A 20,573-nucleotide genomic window follows, 5' to 3' on the forward strand; every position below is an offset into this window, starting at 1 on the left:
GCAAAATAACTGCCAAGGCCAAGATCAATGAATTCTTTTTCTATTATTTCCCTTAGAATGTTTATGATTTCAGGTCTTACATTTAAGTCCTTCATTCATTTTGAGTTAATTTTTGTATATGGTGTAAGGGAAGAGCCCAGCTTCATTCTTTTGAATGTAGATGTCCAGTGTGCCTGACACCATTGAAAAGACTATCTTTCTCCACTGTACAAGGGACTATCCTATCCTTTTCCCACTCTTGCCTGAAGATGAACTAAATATTGAAAGAAAGTATGTCACTACCAAACTTGGTTAAAGGGACTGAAAGTGATTGATTCTGAGAAGAAAATGATAATGTAGGGCTAGTCAGGGTTTTTATACTAGCCTTATCAAGTCTACTTGATTTTTAAAGTATGTATGTTTGATAAAAGTAAAAGCTATTTTTTTAAATTATACTTTAAGTTCTAGGGTACATGTGCACAATGTGCAGGTTTGATACATAGGTAAACATGTGCCATGCTGGTTTGCTGCACCCATCAACCCTTCATTTACATTAGGTATTTCTCCTAATGCTATCCCTCCCCCAGCCCCACAACCCATCACACACAACAGTGTGTGATGTTCCCCACCCTGTGTCCAAGTGATCTGATTTTTCAATTCCCACCTATGAGTAAGGACACATGGAGTATGGTTTTCTGTCTTTGTGATAGCTTGCTAAGAATGATGGTTTCCAGCTTCATCCATGTCCCTGTACAGTACATGAACTCATCCTTTTTTATGGCTGCATAGTATTCCACGGTGCATGTGTGCCACATTTTCTTAATCCAGTCTATCATTGATGAACATTTGGGTTAGTTCGTGAATAGTGCTGTAATAAAAATACATGTGCATGTGTCTTTATAGTAACATGATTTATAATCCTTTGGGTATATATCCAGTAATGGGATTGCTGGGTCAAATGGTAATTGTAGTCCTAGATCCTTGAGGAATCGCTACAGTGTCTTCCACAATGGTTGAACCAATTTACCCTCCCACCAACAGTGTGAAAGCTTTCCTACTTCTCCACATTCTCTACAGCATCTGTTGTTTCCTGACGTTTTAATGATTGCCATTCTAACTGGCATGAGATGGTATCTCACTGTGGTTTTGATTTGCATTTCTCTGATGACCAGTGATGATGCACCTTTTTTCATGTGTCTGTTGGCTGCATAGACGTCTTCTTTTGAGAAGTGTCTGTTCATATCATTTGCCCACATTTTGATGGAGTTGTTTGTTATTTTCTTGTAAATTTGTCTGAGTTTTTTGTAGATTCTGGATATTAGCCCTTTGTCAGATGGGTAGATTGCAAAAATTTTCTCCCATTTTGTAGGTTTCCTGTTCACTCTGATGGTAGTTTCTTTTGCGGTGGAGAAGCTCTTTAATTAGATCCCATTTGTCAATGTTGGCTTTTGTTGCCATTGCTTTTGATGTTTTAGACATGAAGTCCTTGCCCATGTCTATGTCCTGAATGGTATGGCCTAGGTTTTCTTCTAGGGTTTTTATGGTGTTAGACCTAACATTTAAGTCTTTAATCCATCTGGAATTAATTTTTGTATAAGGTGTAAGGAAGGCATCCAGTTTCAGCTTTCTACATATGGCTAGCAGGTTTTCCCAGCACCATTTATTAATGGGGGAATCATTTCCCCATTTCTTGTTTTTGTCAGGTTTGTCAAAGATCAGATGGTTGTAGATATGTGGCATTATTTCTGAGGCTTCTGTTCTGTTACATTGGTCTATACGTCTGTTTTGGTACCAGTACCATGCTGTTTTGGTTACTGTAGCCTTGTAGTATACAAGTCAGGTAGCGTGATGCCTCCAGCTTTTTCTCTTTTGGCTTAGATTGTCTTGGCAATGTGTGCTCTTTTTTGGTTCCATATGAACTTTAAAGTAGTTTTTTTCCAATTTTGTGATGAAAGTCATTGGTAGCTTGATGGGGATGGCATTGAATCTATAAATTACTTTGGGCAGTATGGCCATTTTCACAATATTCATTCTTCCTATCCATGAGCATGGAATATTCTTCCATTTGTTTTTTTCCTCTTTTATTTCATTGAGCAGTGGTTTGTAGTTCTCCCTGAAGAGGTCCTTCACATCCCTTGTAAGTTGGATTCCTAGGTATTTTATTCTCTTCGTAAGAATTATGAATGGGGGTTCACTCATGGTTTGGCTCTCTGTTTGTCTGTTAATGGTGTATAGGAAAGCTTGTGATTTTTGCACATTGATTTTATATCCTGAGACTTTGCTGAAGTTGCTTATCAGCTTAAGGAGATTTGGGGCTAAGACGATGGGGTTTTCTAAATATATAATCATGTCATCTGCAAACAGGGACAATTTGACTTCCTCATTTCCTAATCGAATACACTTTATTTCTTTCTGTTGTCTGATTGCCCTGGCCAGAACTTCCAAAACTATGTTGAATAGGAGTGGTGAGAGAGGGCATCCTTGTCTTGTGCTGGTTTTCAAAGGGAATGCTTCCAGTTTTTGCCCATTAAGTATGATATTGGCTCTTGGTTTGCCATAAATAGCTCTTATTATTTTGAGATACATTCCATCAATATGTAGTTTATTGAGAGTTTTTAGCATGAAGGGCTGTTGAATTTTCTTGAAGGCCCTTTCTGCATCTATTGAGATAATTATGTCGTTTTTGTCTTTGGTTCTGTTTATGTGACGGATTATATTTATTGATTTGCGTATCTTGAACCAGACTTGTGTCCCAGGGATGAAGCCGACTTGATGGTGTTGGATAAGTGTTTTGATGTGCTGCTGCATTCGGTTTGCCAGTATTTTATTGAGGATTTTTGCATCAATGTTCATCAGGTATATTGATCTAAAATTCTCTTTTTTTGTTGTGTCTCTGCCAGGCTATGGTATCACGATGATGTTGGCCTCCTAAAATGAGTTAGGGAGGATTCCCTCTTTTTCTATTGATTGGAATAGTTTCAGAAGGAATGGTACCAGCTCCTCTTTGTACCTCTGGTGGAATTTGGCCACGAATCCATCTGGTCCTGGACTTTTTTCGTTGGTAGGCTATAAATTATTGCCTCAATTTCAGAGCCTGTTATTGGTCTATTCAGGGATTCAACTTCTTTCTGATTTAGTCTTGGGAGAATGTATTTGTCCAGGAATTTATCCATTTCTTGTAGATTTTATAGTATATTTGTATAGAGGTGTTTATAGTATTCTCTGATGGTAGTTTGTATTTCTGTGGGATCGGTGGTGATATCCCCTTTATTATTTTTTATTGCCTCTATTTGATTCTTCTCTCTTTTCTTCTTTATTAGTCTTGCTAGCAGTCTACCAATTTTGTTGATCTTTTCAAAAAAGCAACTCCTGGATTCATTGATAATTTGAAGGGATTTTTTGGCGCTCTCTCTTCAGTTCTGCTCTGATCTTAATTATTTCTTGCCTTCTGCTAGCTTTTGAATTTGTTTGCTCTTGTTTCTCTAGTTCTTTTAGTTGTGATGTTATGGTGTCGATTTTAGATCTTTCCTGTTTTCTCTTGTGGGCATTTAGTGCTATAAATTTCCTTCTACCTACTGCTTTAAATGTATCCCAGAGATTCTGGTATGTTGTGTCTTTGTTCTCATTGGTTTCAAAGAATATCTTTATTTCTGCCTTTATTTCATTATGTACCCTGTAGTCATTTAGGAGCAGGTTGTTCAGTTTCCATGTAGTTGTGCTGTTTTGAGTGAGTTTCTTAATCCTGAGTTCTAATTTGATCGCACTGTGGTCTGAGAGACAGTTTATTGTGATTTCTGTTCTTCTACATTTGCTGATGAGTGCTTTACTTCCAATTATGTGGTCAATTTCAGAATAAGTGTGATGTGGGCTGAGAAGAATGTATATTCTGTTGATTTGGGGTGGAGACTTCTGTAGATGTCTATTAGGTCTTCTTGTTGCAGAGCTAAGTTCTGGTCCTGGATATCCTTGTTAACCTTCTGTCTCATTGATCTGTCTAATATTGACATTGGGGTGTTAAAGTCTCCCACTGTTATTGTGTGGGAGTCTAAATCTCTTTGTAGGTCTCTAAGGACTTGCTTTATGAATCTTGGTGCTCCTGTATTGGGTGCATATATATTTAGGATAGGTAGCTCTTCTTGTTGAATTTATCCCTTTACCATTATGTAATGGCTTTCTTTGTCTCTTTGATCTTTGTTGGTTTAAAGTCTGTTTTATCAGAGACTAGGATTGCAACCCCTGCTTTTTTTTTTTTTTTTTTTTTGCTTTCCATTTTCTTGGTAGATCTTCCCCCAACCCTTTATTTTGAGCTTAAATGCATCTTTGCACGTGAGACAGGTCTCCTGAATACCGCACACTGTTGGGTCTTGACTCTTTATCCAATTTGCCAGTCCGTGTCTTTTAATTGGGGCATTTAGCCCATTTACATTGAAGTTTAATATTGTTTGTGTGAATTTGTTCCTTTCATTATGATGTTCGCTGGTTACTTTGCCCGTTAATTGATGCAGTTTCTTCATAGCATGGATGGTCTTTACAATTTGGCATGTTTTTGCAGTGGCTGGTACCAGTTGTTTCTTTCCATGTTTAGTGCTTCCTTCAGGAGCTCTTGTAAGCCAGGCCTGGTGGTGACAAAATTTCTCAGCATTTGCTTGTCTGTGAAAGATTTTATTTCTCCTTCACTTATGAAGCTTAGTTTGGCTGGATATGAAATTATGGGTTGCAAATTCTTTTCTTCAAGAATGTTGAATATTGGCGCCCACTCTCTTCTGGCTTGTAGGGTTTCCGCTGAGAGATCTGCTGTTAGTCTGATGGGCTTCCCTTTCTGGGTAACCTGACCTTCTTTCTGGCTGCCCTTAATACATTTTCCCTTCATTTCAACCTTGGTGCATCTGACAATTATGTGTCTTGGGGTTGCTCTTCTCGAGGAGTATCTTTGTGGTGTTCTCTGTTTTTCCCGAATTTGAATGTTGGCCTGCCTTGCTAGGTTGGGGAAGTTCTCCTGGATAATAACCTGAAGAGTGTTTTCCAACTTGGTTCCATTCTCCCCATCACTTTCAGGTACACCAATCAAACATAGATTTGGTCTTTTCACATAGTTCCATATTTCTCGGAGGCTTTATTCATTTCTTTTTACTCTTTTTTCTCTAACCTTTTCTTCTTGCTTTATTTCATTAATTTGATCTTCAATCACTGATACTCTTTCTTCCACTTGATTGAATCGGCTATTGAAGCTTGTGCATGCATCACGAAGTTCTCGTGCTATGGTTTTCAGCTCCATCAGGTCATTTAAGATCTTCTCTACACTGTTTATTCTAGTTAGCCAATTGTCTAATCTTTTTTCAAGGTTTTAGCTTCCTTGTGATGGGTTCGAACATCCTCTTTAGCTCAGAGAAGTTTGTTATTACCTACCTTCTGAAGCCTACTTCTGTCAACGTGTCAAAGTCATTCTTTGTCCAGTTTTGTTCCATTGCTGGCAAGAAGCTGTGATCCTTTGGAGGAGAAGAGGTGCTCGATTTTTAGAATTATCCACTTTTCTGCTCCGGTTTCTCCCCATCTTTGTGGTTGTATCTACCTTTGGTGTTTGATGTTGGTGACCTACAGATAGGGTTTTGATGTACATGACCTTTTTGCTGATGTTGATGCTATTCTTTTCTGTTTGTTAGTTTGTCAGGTCCCTCAGCTGCAGGTCTGTTGGAGTTTGCTGGAGTTCCACTCCAGACCCTGTTTGCTTGGGTATCACCAGTGGAGGCTGCAGAACAGCAGATATTGCAGAATAGCAAATCTTGCTGCCTGATCCTTCCTCTGGAAGCTTCATCCCAGAGGGCCAGCCAACTGTATGAGGTGTCTGTTGGCCCCTACTGGGAGCTGTCTCCCAGTTAGGCTACAAAGCAGTCAGGGACTCACCCTGCTTCAGCTGACCCTCTGTGGGCTGCAGCCACTGTCCAACCAGTCCCAATGATATGAATCAGGTATCTCAGTTGGAAATGCAGAACTCACCCATCTTCTGTGTCAATCACGCTGAGAGCTGCAGACCAGAGCTATTCCTATTCAGCCATCTTGGCGACTCCCCAGTAAAAGCTATTTTTTGAAAAACAAGACTTCTTTATTTTATTTTCCAGCACACAAAACTGTGGGGTCACTCTTCTAAAATAATGACCAAATTATTATCAAAACAGAGGTAATATACCTAATTTACCCTTATTTTTTTCCCTTTCTCTCTCCCTCCCTCTCTAATTCTGCTATGCTCCTCTTGTCCTATTCACCCACTAAAGAGATCTGGGTTGGATATAACTGGTGCTGTTGGTTCTGGTAGAGTCCCAAAAAGCTGGGGAACCTGGATTTACATCCAGCAGTCTTTTTTGTTTATTTGTTTCATCTGTAAAGGGCCCACAAGAGTTAGGGAGTTCCCCTTTTATGCTGAGTTGTACTGGCTCAAGGGATGGGGTGATGCAGGCAAAATGAAATTTCTCTTCCTACCTATTTTGTACAGCTATTATTGTGTTTTTCCTTTGCTGTATTTCTGTGACTTAAGTGGACTCCTAAGCTCGTCCATAGTTATTTTTGGTAATGGAAAGCTACTGAATTGTTGCTCTTTGCAAAATAAAAGTTGGAATCTCCTACTGTACCATCTAGTTGAGGTTTCTTTCTTCTTCACTAATCTGATGTGTGCTGTGTGCAAAACACTGCTCTGGGTGAGGTTGTACTTGATTATGTCACAACAGAAAATAATTCTACTATCAAAATAAAAGAATTTAAAAATCACCACAACATGAATAAATAAATTCAACAAATCTTTAGTGAATTACATAATATAACACACACACACACACACACACACACACACACGTCTTATAATCGCAAACCTCATAACAAGTATTTGAATGTTTTAATATAGAAAATGCAGTGGTCAATTTTTTTGAGAAATGCTTTTGTGGGAAAAGTCATTTTTATACTGTATTTATGTAAAACAAACTACCATTATAGCTCCATTTGAAAAGAATTGCACAAATTAGTGAGTTAATTTTGGCTGTAATAATCTTTTAGGACTAGATTATAAAGCTAAGTAAGAACAAAGATTTTTACTTAGTAGAGAGATAATTTATTTTTAAGTTATATATCTGTGTGAAAATAAGTCACATTTTGAACTTCTGAAACACATATTTTCAATGGTTAAGTATTTATTGAATATTTTCAATTTATTAAGTATATAAAAATGAGTGCAAACAAAATAAAGAGGAATTATGGTCCCTGACTTGAGAAATAATTTTAGTCTACTTTAGTAGAGACTGTATACATTAAAATTTAAAGATAGGGTGTTAACTAACTAGGTGACAAAACAGTATTAGGAGATTTGCACATATGTCTCATTTAGCCTCATTTAGTCTTTTCACAATCTTAATAAGTAGCTGTCATTTTCAATTTGAAGAACTTGAGACTCCTGCTTAAACATGAATAGCTGAAATAATTTATCTCTGTTTTCTTAGAAGGTTCATAAAAAATTATAATCAATCATGGTATAAATCAAATCGTGTATAAATAGATAAAAATGAAATCCACGAAGCACAGGGAAGAGACTATAGAAGACAAGAAAACCAACACAATTTGTAAGATGAAATTCAAATAGGCAAATGCTGATATTTTCAGAGTAAGGGATGCTGAAAGCTATATGCCAGTAAAAGAAGATGCTAATGTCAAGGAAGCCAACTAAAATCAAGCAGATTTTGAAAGTCCCCAAAAAACAGAATTACTAGATACTTAGATTGTGAAAAATGAGAATAAAAGCAGAATAACTGCTTGAAAATAAAGTATAGAGAATATTTAGACTCTCACCTCTCTCTCCAAACCAAGCAGGCAACCATCTGTCTCCCACCCAAGTAGGAGGATGGAGTTTTATTTTCTGCAAAAACTAAATGCAAGAGTTTATAGACTCATATGCGTTAAAATGGATGAGGTTGGGGGCTACTCTTTACCAAAGTTAAGAGAAATAAGTTAAAACCTGCATACCATTTCTCTAACTCATCTTCCAGAATAATACCAACCTATTTATACTTGTTAGGCAAAATGTTAGATAATTCCTCTCTAAAAAGCTGACCAAGAGAGAAATTCTGCAGTAATATCTAAGGGCTTCCAAGAAAATATCTGTATCCTGGCCTATTACCCTACACTTCTCAAAAAGTGCAGCTCATGCATCTATGATCTCTACTTAATTTTTTAGTGTTTTTCTTTTATACATGGCTATATATACATTGAACTTCACACACTGAGGGAGAGTCTCTAAAATGAAGATAAGCAAATGAAGACTGGAGGAAATTTAGATGCCACATGTAACAAAGAAAATATTTTAAAGTAACTATAAATGAAAAAAATACTGGTTTAGTGAAAGAATAGCAATTCTTTCAAATGAATAACCAGAGAATTAAAAGTCTATTAAAGTTTTAAAAAATAATAGGAGAAAATAAAATTTTAGTAGAATGTTGAAAAAATTTTCCAGAAAGTAGATGAGGTAAATGAAGTAAGGAAAATCATTTCAGCTCAGCTCGTAAGTTTCTGAATTTAAAAAGCCCACTGAATTCCTAGCACGATGAATGAAAAAGATGTCTCAGTCAGTCATCAATACCTTTCAGAGGACTGGGGATAAAAAGAAAGTTCTAAAGCCTTTCAGGAACTGGAGGAAAGTTACACAAAAGGGAACTAGGATCCAAATACCATCAGATATTACAACAGTGATGCTGGAAGTGAGAGAACAATAGATAAATGCTTTCAACTTCAGAAGAAAAATTCTTTCCAACATAGGTTTCTATACTTAACCTCCCAAAAGCATTGAATTGTGAAGATAATTGTGTAAAATCTTCACAATAATATGTTAAGTGTAATTCAAAAACTTAAATCCCATGAAATTTAAAGTTGTTAGGGTAAGTCTTCAGAATTCTGTCTAGAAATTCTAGACATATATAGTTCTGGCTATATATCCCTAATCTTTATGGTCCCAGGTGCTTGTTAGAGTCACATAATGGTGTTTGTCTGTTCTGGTTAGAAAGACAAGTGGAGATGATTCTTGGGCCGTTGGCTATTTAATTGCTATGGCTAAAGAGAGATTCTAAGAAATACAGGTTATTTAGTGCTGGTTTCATTCATTTTCCAGATGAGCCAGGAGAAACATGAGAACATTAGAAATCACAATGTATCTGCCTTCCACCTGAGAAAATGTTGCCTACTTTTTTCATACACTAAGAGCTTTATCCTTCTCTCCCTTAGCCCTTCTCTCTCAGAAGATAAGAATTGTATTCTGCCACATTTTGAGAATGGGAGGCTGAACAAGACTCATTCACCATTTTTGGTATATACCCATCCGCATTTTTAAAATGTCTTATTTCTAAAAATAAAATAATTTCAGCATCTGGGTTCTCAAAACTAATATAGCACCAAAACACTAATGTTCAGGACACTACTACAAGCATGTGCTTTTTCTAAACAACATAGCAAATTAAGGTTGAGCCAACACAGTGTCCACAAATCCATACAATACAAAATATCCAATACAGAAGAGAGATTTAAGGCACTCCCAAAAAGATCTGTGAAGCTGATTCTAAGAATATCCAACCCAGATTGGAGTAACTGGAGAGAATATTTAAGAATATAAGATATTTCAAGCAAAATAAAAGGAAGTTATGTTATTTAATGTGTTTTGCTATATTGAGTGGAGACTATAAGGCTCCCAGCCAGACTGGAAAACTGGAGAAAAAAATAGATATATTATCAGATGTAAAGACAAAAAAAATAGTGAGCAATTATTTTTTCTAGAGAAAATCATTAGATGCTCAAAAAAAGAATGTAAATATACTGTATTTGCTCAGTTGTGAACAACATTTACATGGTCCAAGTAATGTATAGATTCAACTGGAAACTGTGATATAAATATAATAGGAGCTTGGAGAGGAAAGACAAGAGAGAAAGATAAAGTTTGAAAGTGTGGATGTGGAGGGGGACAGTTTTAAGAATACAACATTCTCATGGTCTGTGTTTGGAAATCAATAAATGATATATGAAATAAAACATTTATAAAAGTCAGTAGATTATATATTAAAAATAGGAAAGTAGGTGCCAGAAGAAACAACTGAATGAATTGCAATTTGTTGATACTAGTGAGTGTGAAGCAAAAGTGAAATGGATTTAGGACAGGAATTCATGGGTTTGGTTAGATGTTTTGAATTAGCATTCATTTTTTAACCATGTACATAGGTTTTGAAGAAAAAGTAAATTAAGGACAGTAGAATTCAGATTATTTAAATGGCTAGTCTACCAGAAGGGTAAAATAAAATTTAAGCAAATTCTAGTTTCAGTTGTTTGCTCCTTGACTTTTATGTTTTCCTCTATTTTATTCAAACATTGCTGTGAGAAAGAAAAAAAAAGGAATGATTATACTAAAATAAACTTAGTCAGGAAAGGTGTTGAGAAGAATTCCATTTTCTAGAACTGCTCTGCCTAACATACAGGCTACTAGCCCATTTCTCTATTTGCAAACTTAAAATGTAGTGAAAATAAGAATACTTGTGACACATCAGATACATTTTTGACATACATAGCAAAATAAAATATATAATTAAAACAAATTTTAACTGTTGATTTTTATTTTTTAATGTGGCTATTATAAAATGTTTAATTACACCTATGGCTCTCTATTAGCCCATTCTCACATTTCCATAAAGAACTACCTGAGACTGGGTAATTTATAAATAAAATAGGTTTAATTCATACACAATTTTTTCAGGCTGGTGAGGCCTCAGGAAACATTCAATCATGGCAGAAAGCAAAAGGGGAGGCAGGCATGTCTTCACATGGCAGAGCGAGAGAGAGAGAGTATGAAGAGGAAGGTGCCACACACTCTTAAGCAACCAGATCTCATGAGAACTCTTATTATGAGACAACACTAGGGGGATGGTGCTAAACCATTAAAAACCACCCTCATGATCCAGTCACTTCCCACCAGGCCCCACCTCCAACACTGGGGATTATAATTCAACATCATATTTGGGTTGGGACACAGAACCAAACCATATTATTTCCCCTTGGTCCCTCCCAAGTCTCACGTTCTTCTCACATTTCAAAAGGCAATCATGCCTTCCCAGCAGTCCCCCAAAGTCTTCACTCATTCCAGCATTAACGCAAAAGTTCAATTCCAAAGTCTAATCTGAGAAAAAGCAAGTCCCTTCTGCCTATGACCTTGTAAAATAAAAACAATGTAGTTATTTTCAAGATACAATGGGGGTACAGGAATGTGGTACATGCTCCTTCTCTAAAAGGAAGAAATTAACCAAAGCAGAGGAGCTACAGGCCCGATGCAAGTCCAAAACCCAGAAGAACAGTCATTAATTCTCAAAACTCCAAAATAATCTCCTTTGACACCATGTCTGACATCCAGGCAACACTGATGCAAGGGGTGGGTTCCCAAGGCCTTAGGCAGCCCTGCCCCTTTGGCTCTGCAGGGTACAGCCCCCTCAGCTGTTCTCCTGGGCTGTCATTGAGTGCCTGTGGCTTTTCCAAGTGCAAGATGGTGGGCCTACCATTCTGGGGTCTGGAGAACAGTGGCCCTCTCTCACAGCTCCACTAGGCAGTGCCCCAGTGGGGACTCTGTGTGGGGGCTCCAACCCCACATATCTCCTCTGCACTGCCCTAGTAGAGATTCATGATGAGGGCTCCACCCCCTCAGCAGACTTCTGCCTGGACATCCAGGCATTTCCATATATCCTCTGAAATCTAGACAGAAGCTTCCAAGCCTCAACTTTTGCCCTCTGCACACCTGAAGGCTTAACACTACATGGAAGCTGCCAAGGCTTAGGGCTTGCAACATCTGAAGCAAAGGCCTGAGCTATACCTTGGTCCCTTTTAGCCATAGCTGGAGGTGGATCTGGAGCTAGAATGGCCATAATGCAGGGTGCAATGCCCCAAGGCTGCACAGTGTAGTAGGGCCCTGGGTCTGTCCCTCAAAACCATTCTTTTCTCCTAGGCCTCCAGGTTTGTGATGGGAGGAGCTGCAATGAAGGTATCTGAAATGCCTTCAAGTCATTTAGCCCATTGTATCGGCTATTAACATTTGGCTTCTCTTTTCTTATGAAAATTTCTACAGCTGCCTTGAATTCCTCCTTAGAAAATAGGTTTTTCATTTCTACCACATGGTCAGACTGGAAATATTCCAAACTTTTATGTGCTGCTTTCCCTTTAAATATAAGTTTCAATATTAGAAAATCTATTTGCTCATGAATATAAACATACACTGTTAGAAGCAGCCAGGCCACATCTTGAGTGCTTTGCTGATTAGAATGTTTCTTCTGCCAGATACTCTAAATCATCTCTCCCAAGTTCAAAGTTCCATAGATCCCTAGAGCAGGAGCAAAATGTTGCCAGTCTCTTTGCTAAAGCATAATAAGAGTGAACTTTACTCAGTTTGCAATAAGTTCCTCATCTCTATCTGAGACCACCTAGGCCTGGACTTCACTGTCCATATCACTATCAGTATTTTGGTCACAGCCATTTAACAAATCTCTAGGAAGTTCCAAATTTTCCCTCATCTTCCCATATTCTTGTGAGCCCTTCAAACAGTTTCAACCTCAGCTCTTACTCAGTTTCAAAACCACTTCCACATTTTCAGGTATTTTTATAACAATACCCCATTCCTGGTACCAATTATCTTCATTAGTTCATTCTTACCCTACTATAAATAACTACCTGAGACTGCATAATTTATAAACAGGCTTAATTGGCTAATGGTTTTGCAGGCTTTACAGGTAGCATGGCTGGTGTGGCCTCAGGAAATTATTACTCATGCCAGAAAGCAAAAGTGGAAGGAGGCACATCTTCACACGGTGGGACAGGAGAGAGACAGAGTGAAGGGGAAGGTGCCACACACCTTTAAACAATCAGATCTTTTGAGACAGCACTAACGGTGCTAAACCATTAGAAAACACTCTCATGATCCAATCACCTCCCACCCAGCCCCACCTCCAACACTAGGGATTATAATTCAACATGAGATTTGGGTGGGGATGCAGAGCCAAATGATATCAAGCTCTCATTTTTAGGCTTATTTTATATTTGTATTAGACAGCACGCTTCTGGTGATGGGAACTGGTGACAAAATACTTAGGTTTGAACAGCATAAGACCTCAAGAGGGCAAGGACTGTAGTATGTACCCAATAAATATTGAATGGATCTAGACAGAGTAAAAAGGTACCATGGGCAATAATTAACAAAACAGGTATTTTGGAGGGGCTACCTAAGCAATGCTGCAGCTGGTTGCAGGATACATAAAGGTGACAATATGTAAGAAATCCAAATGCTTAACATCTAGGCATAAGGATTCACTTCTTGGTTTCCAAGTTAGCTAAGGAGAAAAATAATCCATTTTGAAAGAGGCTTTGAAAAAGAACATACAATACATAAGAAAGAAAAAGCAATGGAAAGATTGCAGTCCCACTGATTTGAAGTTGCAGTTCTAAATAGACTAAAAGTCTTAAAAACAGTAAAAGGAAAGTTGGGAACAAGTACATATTTAAAAGGATAGCTAATCACCATCCCAAAAGATAAACTCCTGAACCTGTTAATTCTGCATGTTGAAATCCCCAAAAATCAAAATCCTGTAAATATATTTCTGAAAAAAAATTTTTAGAAATCTTTAAAATAAATGTGTTTACATTTTCAAAAGGAGATTTATTTGACAAACATATAAAAACACAACAGAACACATCATTTGCCACTTTGCACAATAAAATAGGCAAAAATAGCATACATATTTTTGCAAGCATAAACATTTGGGTGTACTAATCACAGTTGCATGAGTACAACAGTTATGAACAGACAAAACTTATTCATAGATGGTAGGACAGAAAGGGAAATGGATAAATACATGTCACTTTGGTTAGTAACTGTGTGTACTCAGCTTCATAAATGTAGTCATCTGTAATACCATGATAAACAACCTAGGTCTTTTGACAAGGTCAATACAAAACCACAGTAGGTCACCACTATATATGGAGTTGCCCAAACAGCCAAGATCCCAACAAATTGTATCTTTCACAAATGCATATATACAGCAAAAACATATCTTCCTTTACTGAGGAAGTGTCAACATTTTTAGGTACATGCAGAATACTTACACACAAAGCAAATGTGATAATGTTCTTTCTTGGAATCAAATTTGCAAAAAAACGCATAAACAAATTAAACTCTCTAAAAGTCTCTACACAATTTATACTTTCAGTATTGGAAATGATACAAAGGTGAAATACTTAGCATAAAAATTGTAAAGAATAATGCTGACAGTTCAAAATAATGAAAAAATCTAAAAAGAAAATCTGACATATGAAAAAGTTTATTGCAGTGATAGATTATGAGCAGTTGAGCAGTTGCACAGAGATAGTCAATAAGAGCTGGTAGATTTTCACAAGCATTAATTATATTTTGAAGTTTTACCTCACAAGAAATAGCTGCTTTTGTTAAAGACACAGCTTTTCTCAGAAAATTCATTCACATTCATTTTCTATGTGACACTACTCTTACCTAAATACTTCTATGATTTGCTATAAATGAACATGAGCATTTCTTATTAAAATTTTTCATCTTCTATGCCATGCTTTTATGTTGTTTTGGACATGTGGAAATCCATTTTGTGTGCACTTAGATGCAGACCACAAATTCGGCTGAAATAACACTGTTGATTCAACAACAACACAGTTGCCATTTTTGAAGTTCAGTAACTTCACTGGCTTCTTAGGGCAAACATAATTTTTTTTTTTTTTTTAAGATGGAGTCTCGCTCTGTCGCCCAGGCTGGAGTGCAGTGGTGCTATCTCGGCTCACTGCTAGCTCTGCCTTCTGGTTCCTGCCATTCTCCTGCCTCAGCCTCCCGAGTAGCTGGGACTACAGGCGCCCGCCACCACGCCCAGCTAATTTTTTTTTTTTTTTTTTTTTTTTGGATTTTTACCGCCTGTAGTCCCAGCTACTCAGGAGGTTGAGGCAGGAGAATGGCGTGAACCCGGGAGGCGGAGCTTGCAGTGAGCTGAAATAGCGCCACTGCACTCCAGCCAGGGCGAAAGAGAGAAACTCCGTCTCAAAAAAAAAAAAAAAAAAAAAAAACTCCTGGAATTTCATCAATCGATGGGAATGCCAATGCTGACAAATGATGCTTTTTTAAATTGAAGTTTTCCATGTTGCCATATTGCATGGCAAATCCACTTATCTTGACTTTCTGCCACATTTACTGGGCTGAAATGAAAAAAATTTATAGATGATAACTTGAAATTCACTTTTAGAAATCTTGATCACTCCTAATGCCAAGTCTGTCATTACAATTTGGAAGTTTAATTAGACATTGGAGATTTTCAATTTTAGAGGCTTCGGCTTTAGAGATTTTTATCTTTAGGAATTTTGATATTTAGGGATTTCAGTATTGAGGATTGTGTCTTTTGGAATTATAATCCAAATCTGCTTAAAAGGGAATTCACTTTTCAATGCACTGGCTGCAAACCAATTGTAAATAAGGAAATGTGGAAATGTGATACTGAAAAAAAATTAGAAACTACATGCAATTTGAAACCACTTTAACAGAAACAACAGTTGAAATTATTAATGTCAATTATTTTCTTGTTGTTCTTGTTGTTTTCGTTTGTTTTTTTGAGAGAGAGTCTCACTCTGTTGCCCAGGCTGGAATGAAGTGGCCTGATGGCTCCCTGCAATCTCTGCCTTTTTCATTCAAGCGATTCTCCAACCTCAGTCTTTCAAGGAGCTGGGATTACAGGTGCACGACACCACGCTTATATAATTTTTTTTGTAATTTAGTAGAGATGGGGTTTCACCATGTTGGCCAGGCTGGTTTCAAACTCATGACCTCAAGAGATCCACCCACCTCAGCCTCCCAAATTGCTGGAATTACAGGTGTGAGCCACCATGCCTGGCTTAAGTCAGTTGTTTTCAGAAATAAATATGAAAGCTGAAAGGATATTAGAAATATTCCATGATATGTTCATTTATGTGTACATTCAAATTATTGAATATGTTCATTCAATAGTCAAACCCACATGATGTATTAGTTGTATTACTTTTATTATCAGCAAAAACCTGCACTTAGTTTCTAGTATTTTGAAATTTGGGGGAAAATACTCATAAATCAAGGACGAAAAAAAAACTTTCAAGAGAATGCTAGAATAACTAAAAGTTAGAGAAGAGATTATAGAATAATTAATTGATCAAAGGGCATCAGCTAGTCTATGGGTAAAATGATTAAAAAATGTTCTTAAGCCAGCTTTAGGTGAAATTCAGCAGAGCACAGTATTCTGTTATTTTATATTTTTCTTACACTAATATATGTTGCTTTGTGCTAAGTAATTAATAAACCTGAGCATGACTGAGTTAAGAGGAACTGCACAGAAGATAAGTCATTCCGTGAAATGGTACTTACAGATATGAAAATGATTCTTTAAACACCTAGCAAGGAAAGAGATATTCATCTCATTTGAAGAAACCTGAAGGATTGGTTCTCTATTTAATACTACTCTTTAAATAATACCATCATTATGACTTTATTAATGTCTGAAAGAAATGTCACTTAAATCTTTTGCCAAAGTACCAGCGCTTGCTTGTCATTTGGCAGTTCTCTCATTTCCATTTTTTTCCTTCAAACTGTTTGCATATTCCGCAGGCTCATTTGTTATGTTTATCTTTCTTACCATACCTAATTGAATGTAATGGGATGATTTGGCTCATTCTGTGCACTGTGTGGTCTCTGCAGGCATGCTCCTCAACACATTTTAACATCCTAAAAGAAAATCCTATTACCACAAAATAGCGTTTAGATTAGAATGTAAACATGCCATTCCATTTGCTTACCTTATTTAGAATCCCAAGAGTCATGGGACAGAAAATCTTAGGGTCTAATATGAACATCTCTGAAATAAGCATAATGAACTTCACATCATAAAGAGTAAAGCCCCAAACGAGGCTTTTTACATTTTTTCTGTTCATATAGAAAGGCTACAAACTGTTCATCATATTCACCTAATTCACTCTGGATTCAGAAAAGAAGATAGAGAAAGGCTGTTTGGAGGATATACATAGGTTTTAAGAAAACTCTATGAATAGGAGGAAGATAGAGACTCAGAAAGTCAAATAGAACTACACGAAAGTCATAGCTTCACAGATGTACATGTCCATTTCTAAACTCCTCAGATGTGATAAAGAATGATTATCAAAAAATTAGGAAATTAAATTTGAGAGAAAAAATGGGTTCATTAGTCATTATAAATGCTAAAAATTAAATTAATGCCATAAAAATGTAATAATCAGGTTTTTATAATTTCAAGTTAAAAAAGAAAATGGTAGAGTCAGACTAATTGACAGAAAAGGTTTCAATCTCATTTGGAAAGTTATAAATTTTGTGTTACACATGGTTATGTGACCTATGATGGTATTCTAAAGCTTTCTCTATGAGTAAATAGGGTACATGGGAAGGTTTTGTTGTTTGTTTGTTTGTTTGTTTTTGACACAGTCTCACTCTGTCACCCAGGATAGAGTCTAGTGGCATGATCTCAGCTCACTGCAACCTCCGCCTTCCGGGTTCAAGAGATTCTCCCATCTCAGCCTCCGAAGTAGCTGGGATTACAGGTGCCCATCACCATGTCTGGCTATTTTTTTATTTTTGTATTTTTAGTAGAGATGGAGTTTCACCATGTTGGCCAAGCTGGTCTCAAACTCCTGACCTCAGGTGATCCACCCGCCTAGGCCTCCCAAAGGGCTGGGATTGGCAGGCATAAGCCACCACACCTGGCCATGGGAAAGTTTTTTAACTATACTTTGCATACATGCAAAGCAAGAAGATGGTATAGAAAACAGTAAACAGGTAGAGCAGACCTACATTTAGAGCTAAAAGATAGTGAAGAAACATGGAATCCACATGACAATAAAATTCTCTACCAGCAAAAAGGGCATCCAAATCCATAATAATTTGTCAACAAACAATGTTTGTAGGTCCAACTTGGGGAATTTTGGTGATTGTGTTTTTAGAAGCCACTCAAGGCAGCCTGTAATCCCAGCACTTTGGGGGGCCGAGGCAGGCAGATCACCTGAGGTTAGGAGTTCAAGACCACCCTGGCCAACATGGTGAAACCCTATCTCTACTAAAAATACAAAAATTAACCAGGTTATGATGTGCACCTGTAATCCTAGCTACTTGGGAGGCTGAGGCATGAGAATCACTTGAACCTGGAAGGTGGAGGTTGCAGTGAGCCGAGATCACGCCACTGTACTCCAACCTGGGTGACAGAGCGAGACTCCATCTCAAAAACAAACAACAACAACAAGAATAACAAACAAAACAAAAAACAATTAGTCTTGATTTTAAGAGGGCTAAGACTTGCCAACATTATTTGAGAAAATAGTAATGGTTTACTATTTAATTTATTTAGCTGTAATGACCTTGACTGAAAATACTTCCTAGGAATGCTAAATTATGTGTGGGAAATAATCCTTTTGTGATAGGAGATATGGTATACACTAGTTTGTTGCATTGCTCAAGCAAGAGGCCAAGAATTTCTATTGTAATTCATTTATAGGATTTCTTCGAAAGAGCTCATCACATACTTAGTCCCTATCCCGACTTGAAAATAATCTGAACTAAGTCCAGTGTTTAATCTAAATGAATGTCAACTCAGAAAATGAATATAGAGTTGGTTCTCAAATTACAGCATGCACCTGGAAGCCTTGTACAAATACAAATTGCCAGGCCTCATCCCCACAGATGCTGAATCAGTAAGTGTGATGGAGATCTAAGACTGCATTTGTAACAATCTCCCAAGTGGTGCTGAGGCTGCTGTTCTAAAGACTGCCTTTTGAGGACTAGTGATATAAAGCATAATATGAATATTGCTAACATATTAATTCTGAAAAAAAGACAAACAGTTCAGAACCAATTGATTGGTATTGATTGAGGAAGCTTTATATATTTGTACATCATATAATATTTTTACTATTTGTTAATACATATTGTTATCTAAAATGGGTACAGATATATTCACACTTTCTGGAAGATAAGTAAGGCACAGTATAAATCAGTTATTTGAGTAATACTCCTAAAATGTTAAGTAATTTTTTAAAATCTTGAAATAGACATCTCCACATAGAAATAAGTTATTTATGGTTGCTTATATAATTCTGTATAGACTGTTGACTGGCTAAAAAATTGCAACATATTACAGCTAAGTAGTCTTATCAAATAAATTATGTAAACTCTTAGGTCACCCAAGTACTTCATAAGAGCAACCTCTTACCACAATAAATAGGGCAGTTAATATAAATTAGAAAGCAAATGGAACATGCACACAATGGTGAATTATACTGCAGGATAAAAATCAATATAATGACTGAAATTTCTCTTGTGGGAATATTAATGTTTTGGCCATGGTTTTAAATAAAGTCATAGCTGACATATCGAAGCCAATTTCTGTAATGAATAAAATGACAACTGAGGCACTAAAATATGTTACAATCTTCAAACTGTAAACCTGTACATTGTGGTAAACATTATTATTCAAATGTTACTTTTTTACTTTATTTCAGACTGGATTTTTATATTTTTATTTATCTGCTTAACAAAATAATACTATCTTGGCTTTCTAATTTCCCACATTATTATCCACAAGATAAAATAAACCAACTGAATAGTATACTCCAAGTAATTTCTTAACTTCAGAAACATAGCAAGAAATTTAAATTGACATTTGGAATCCTAAATTATGTTTTTAATGATAGTTAAGTAATTGAGTTAATACTTAGACTTCTAGTCCAAGATAAACTAAGACGGATGTAGAAAAGTTGAGGAAGTTAGGTATGTAGCACCATGTATATATACATGCATAAATTACACACCTGTTGAGTAAGCCCCAATGAATTTAAGAATGGGGCATCCAAACATTTCAAATGTTATAAATAGATTGAAAATCACAAAATGTCTATATTAATATAAATCCTATTTCAGAAGTCCTTTTTTTAGAAATTCTGTGACACTGGTTTTTCTCTCATAGGTGTATATATTCCCTTCATCTGAACATTGGCTGAAGTTGGTAACTGCCTCATCTAATACAAGGCAGCAGAAGCAATGCTATGGGACATCCAAGACTGGATTATAAAAGACAGTACATGTTTTTTCTCTCTCTCTCTTTCTCTTTTTCTCTCATCCTTACTTCTATGGCTTCAAACTTTTTTATCGTGTTACTGACATATTCTATTTTCTTAAAAATTTTTGTTCTACATTTCAAAGACGTATTAAAAATATCTCATTTTGGGGGGAGGGGAGAGGGATAGCATTTGGAGATATACCTAATGTTAAATGACGAGTTACTGGGTGCAGCACGCCAACACGGCACATGTATACATATGTGACTAACCTGCACGTTGTGCACATCTACCCTAAAATTTAAAGTATAATAAAAAAATCTCATTTTTAAGTTGGTCAATGTATATGTTTTTACAGAAGTTTCTGCTTATCTATTTTTATACATTGAGGTTAAATCCATACTAGTCAATTAAGAAGAATGTTTTGGAGGATACTTTTT

At 36.6% G+C, this 20,573-nt stretch overlaps 1 long non-coding RNA gene across 1 annotated transcript in view; it reads left to right on the forward strand.

Moving 5' to 3' along the window:
• Window positions 1-20,349, forward strand: part of LOC107986540 (uncharacterized) — a 37,452-nt gene extending 17,103 nt beyond the window's left edge. The window contains exon 3 of the long non-coding RNA XR_001743881.1: window positions 20,043-20,349. This is a non-coding gene — a long non-coding RNA (uncharacterized LOC107986540). The remainder of the gene's footprint in view (window positions 1-20,042) is intronic.
• Window positions 20,350-20,573: the final 224 nt, after the last annotated feature.

The sequence above is a fragment of the Homo sapiens genome, chromosome 6 (genome assembly GCF_000001405.40).
Source record: "Homo sapiens chromosome 6, GRCh38.p14 Primary Assembly".
NCBI classification, from domain to species: Eukaryota; Metazoa; Chordata; class Mammalia; order Primates; family Hominidae; genus Homo; species Homo sapiens.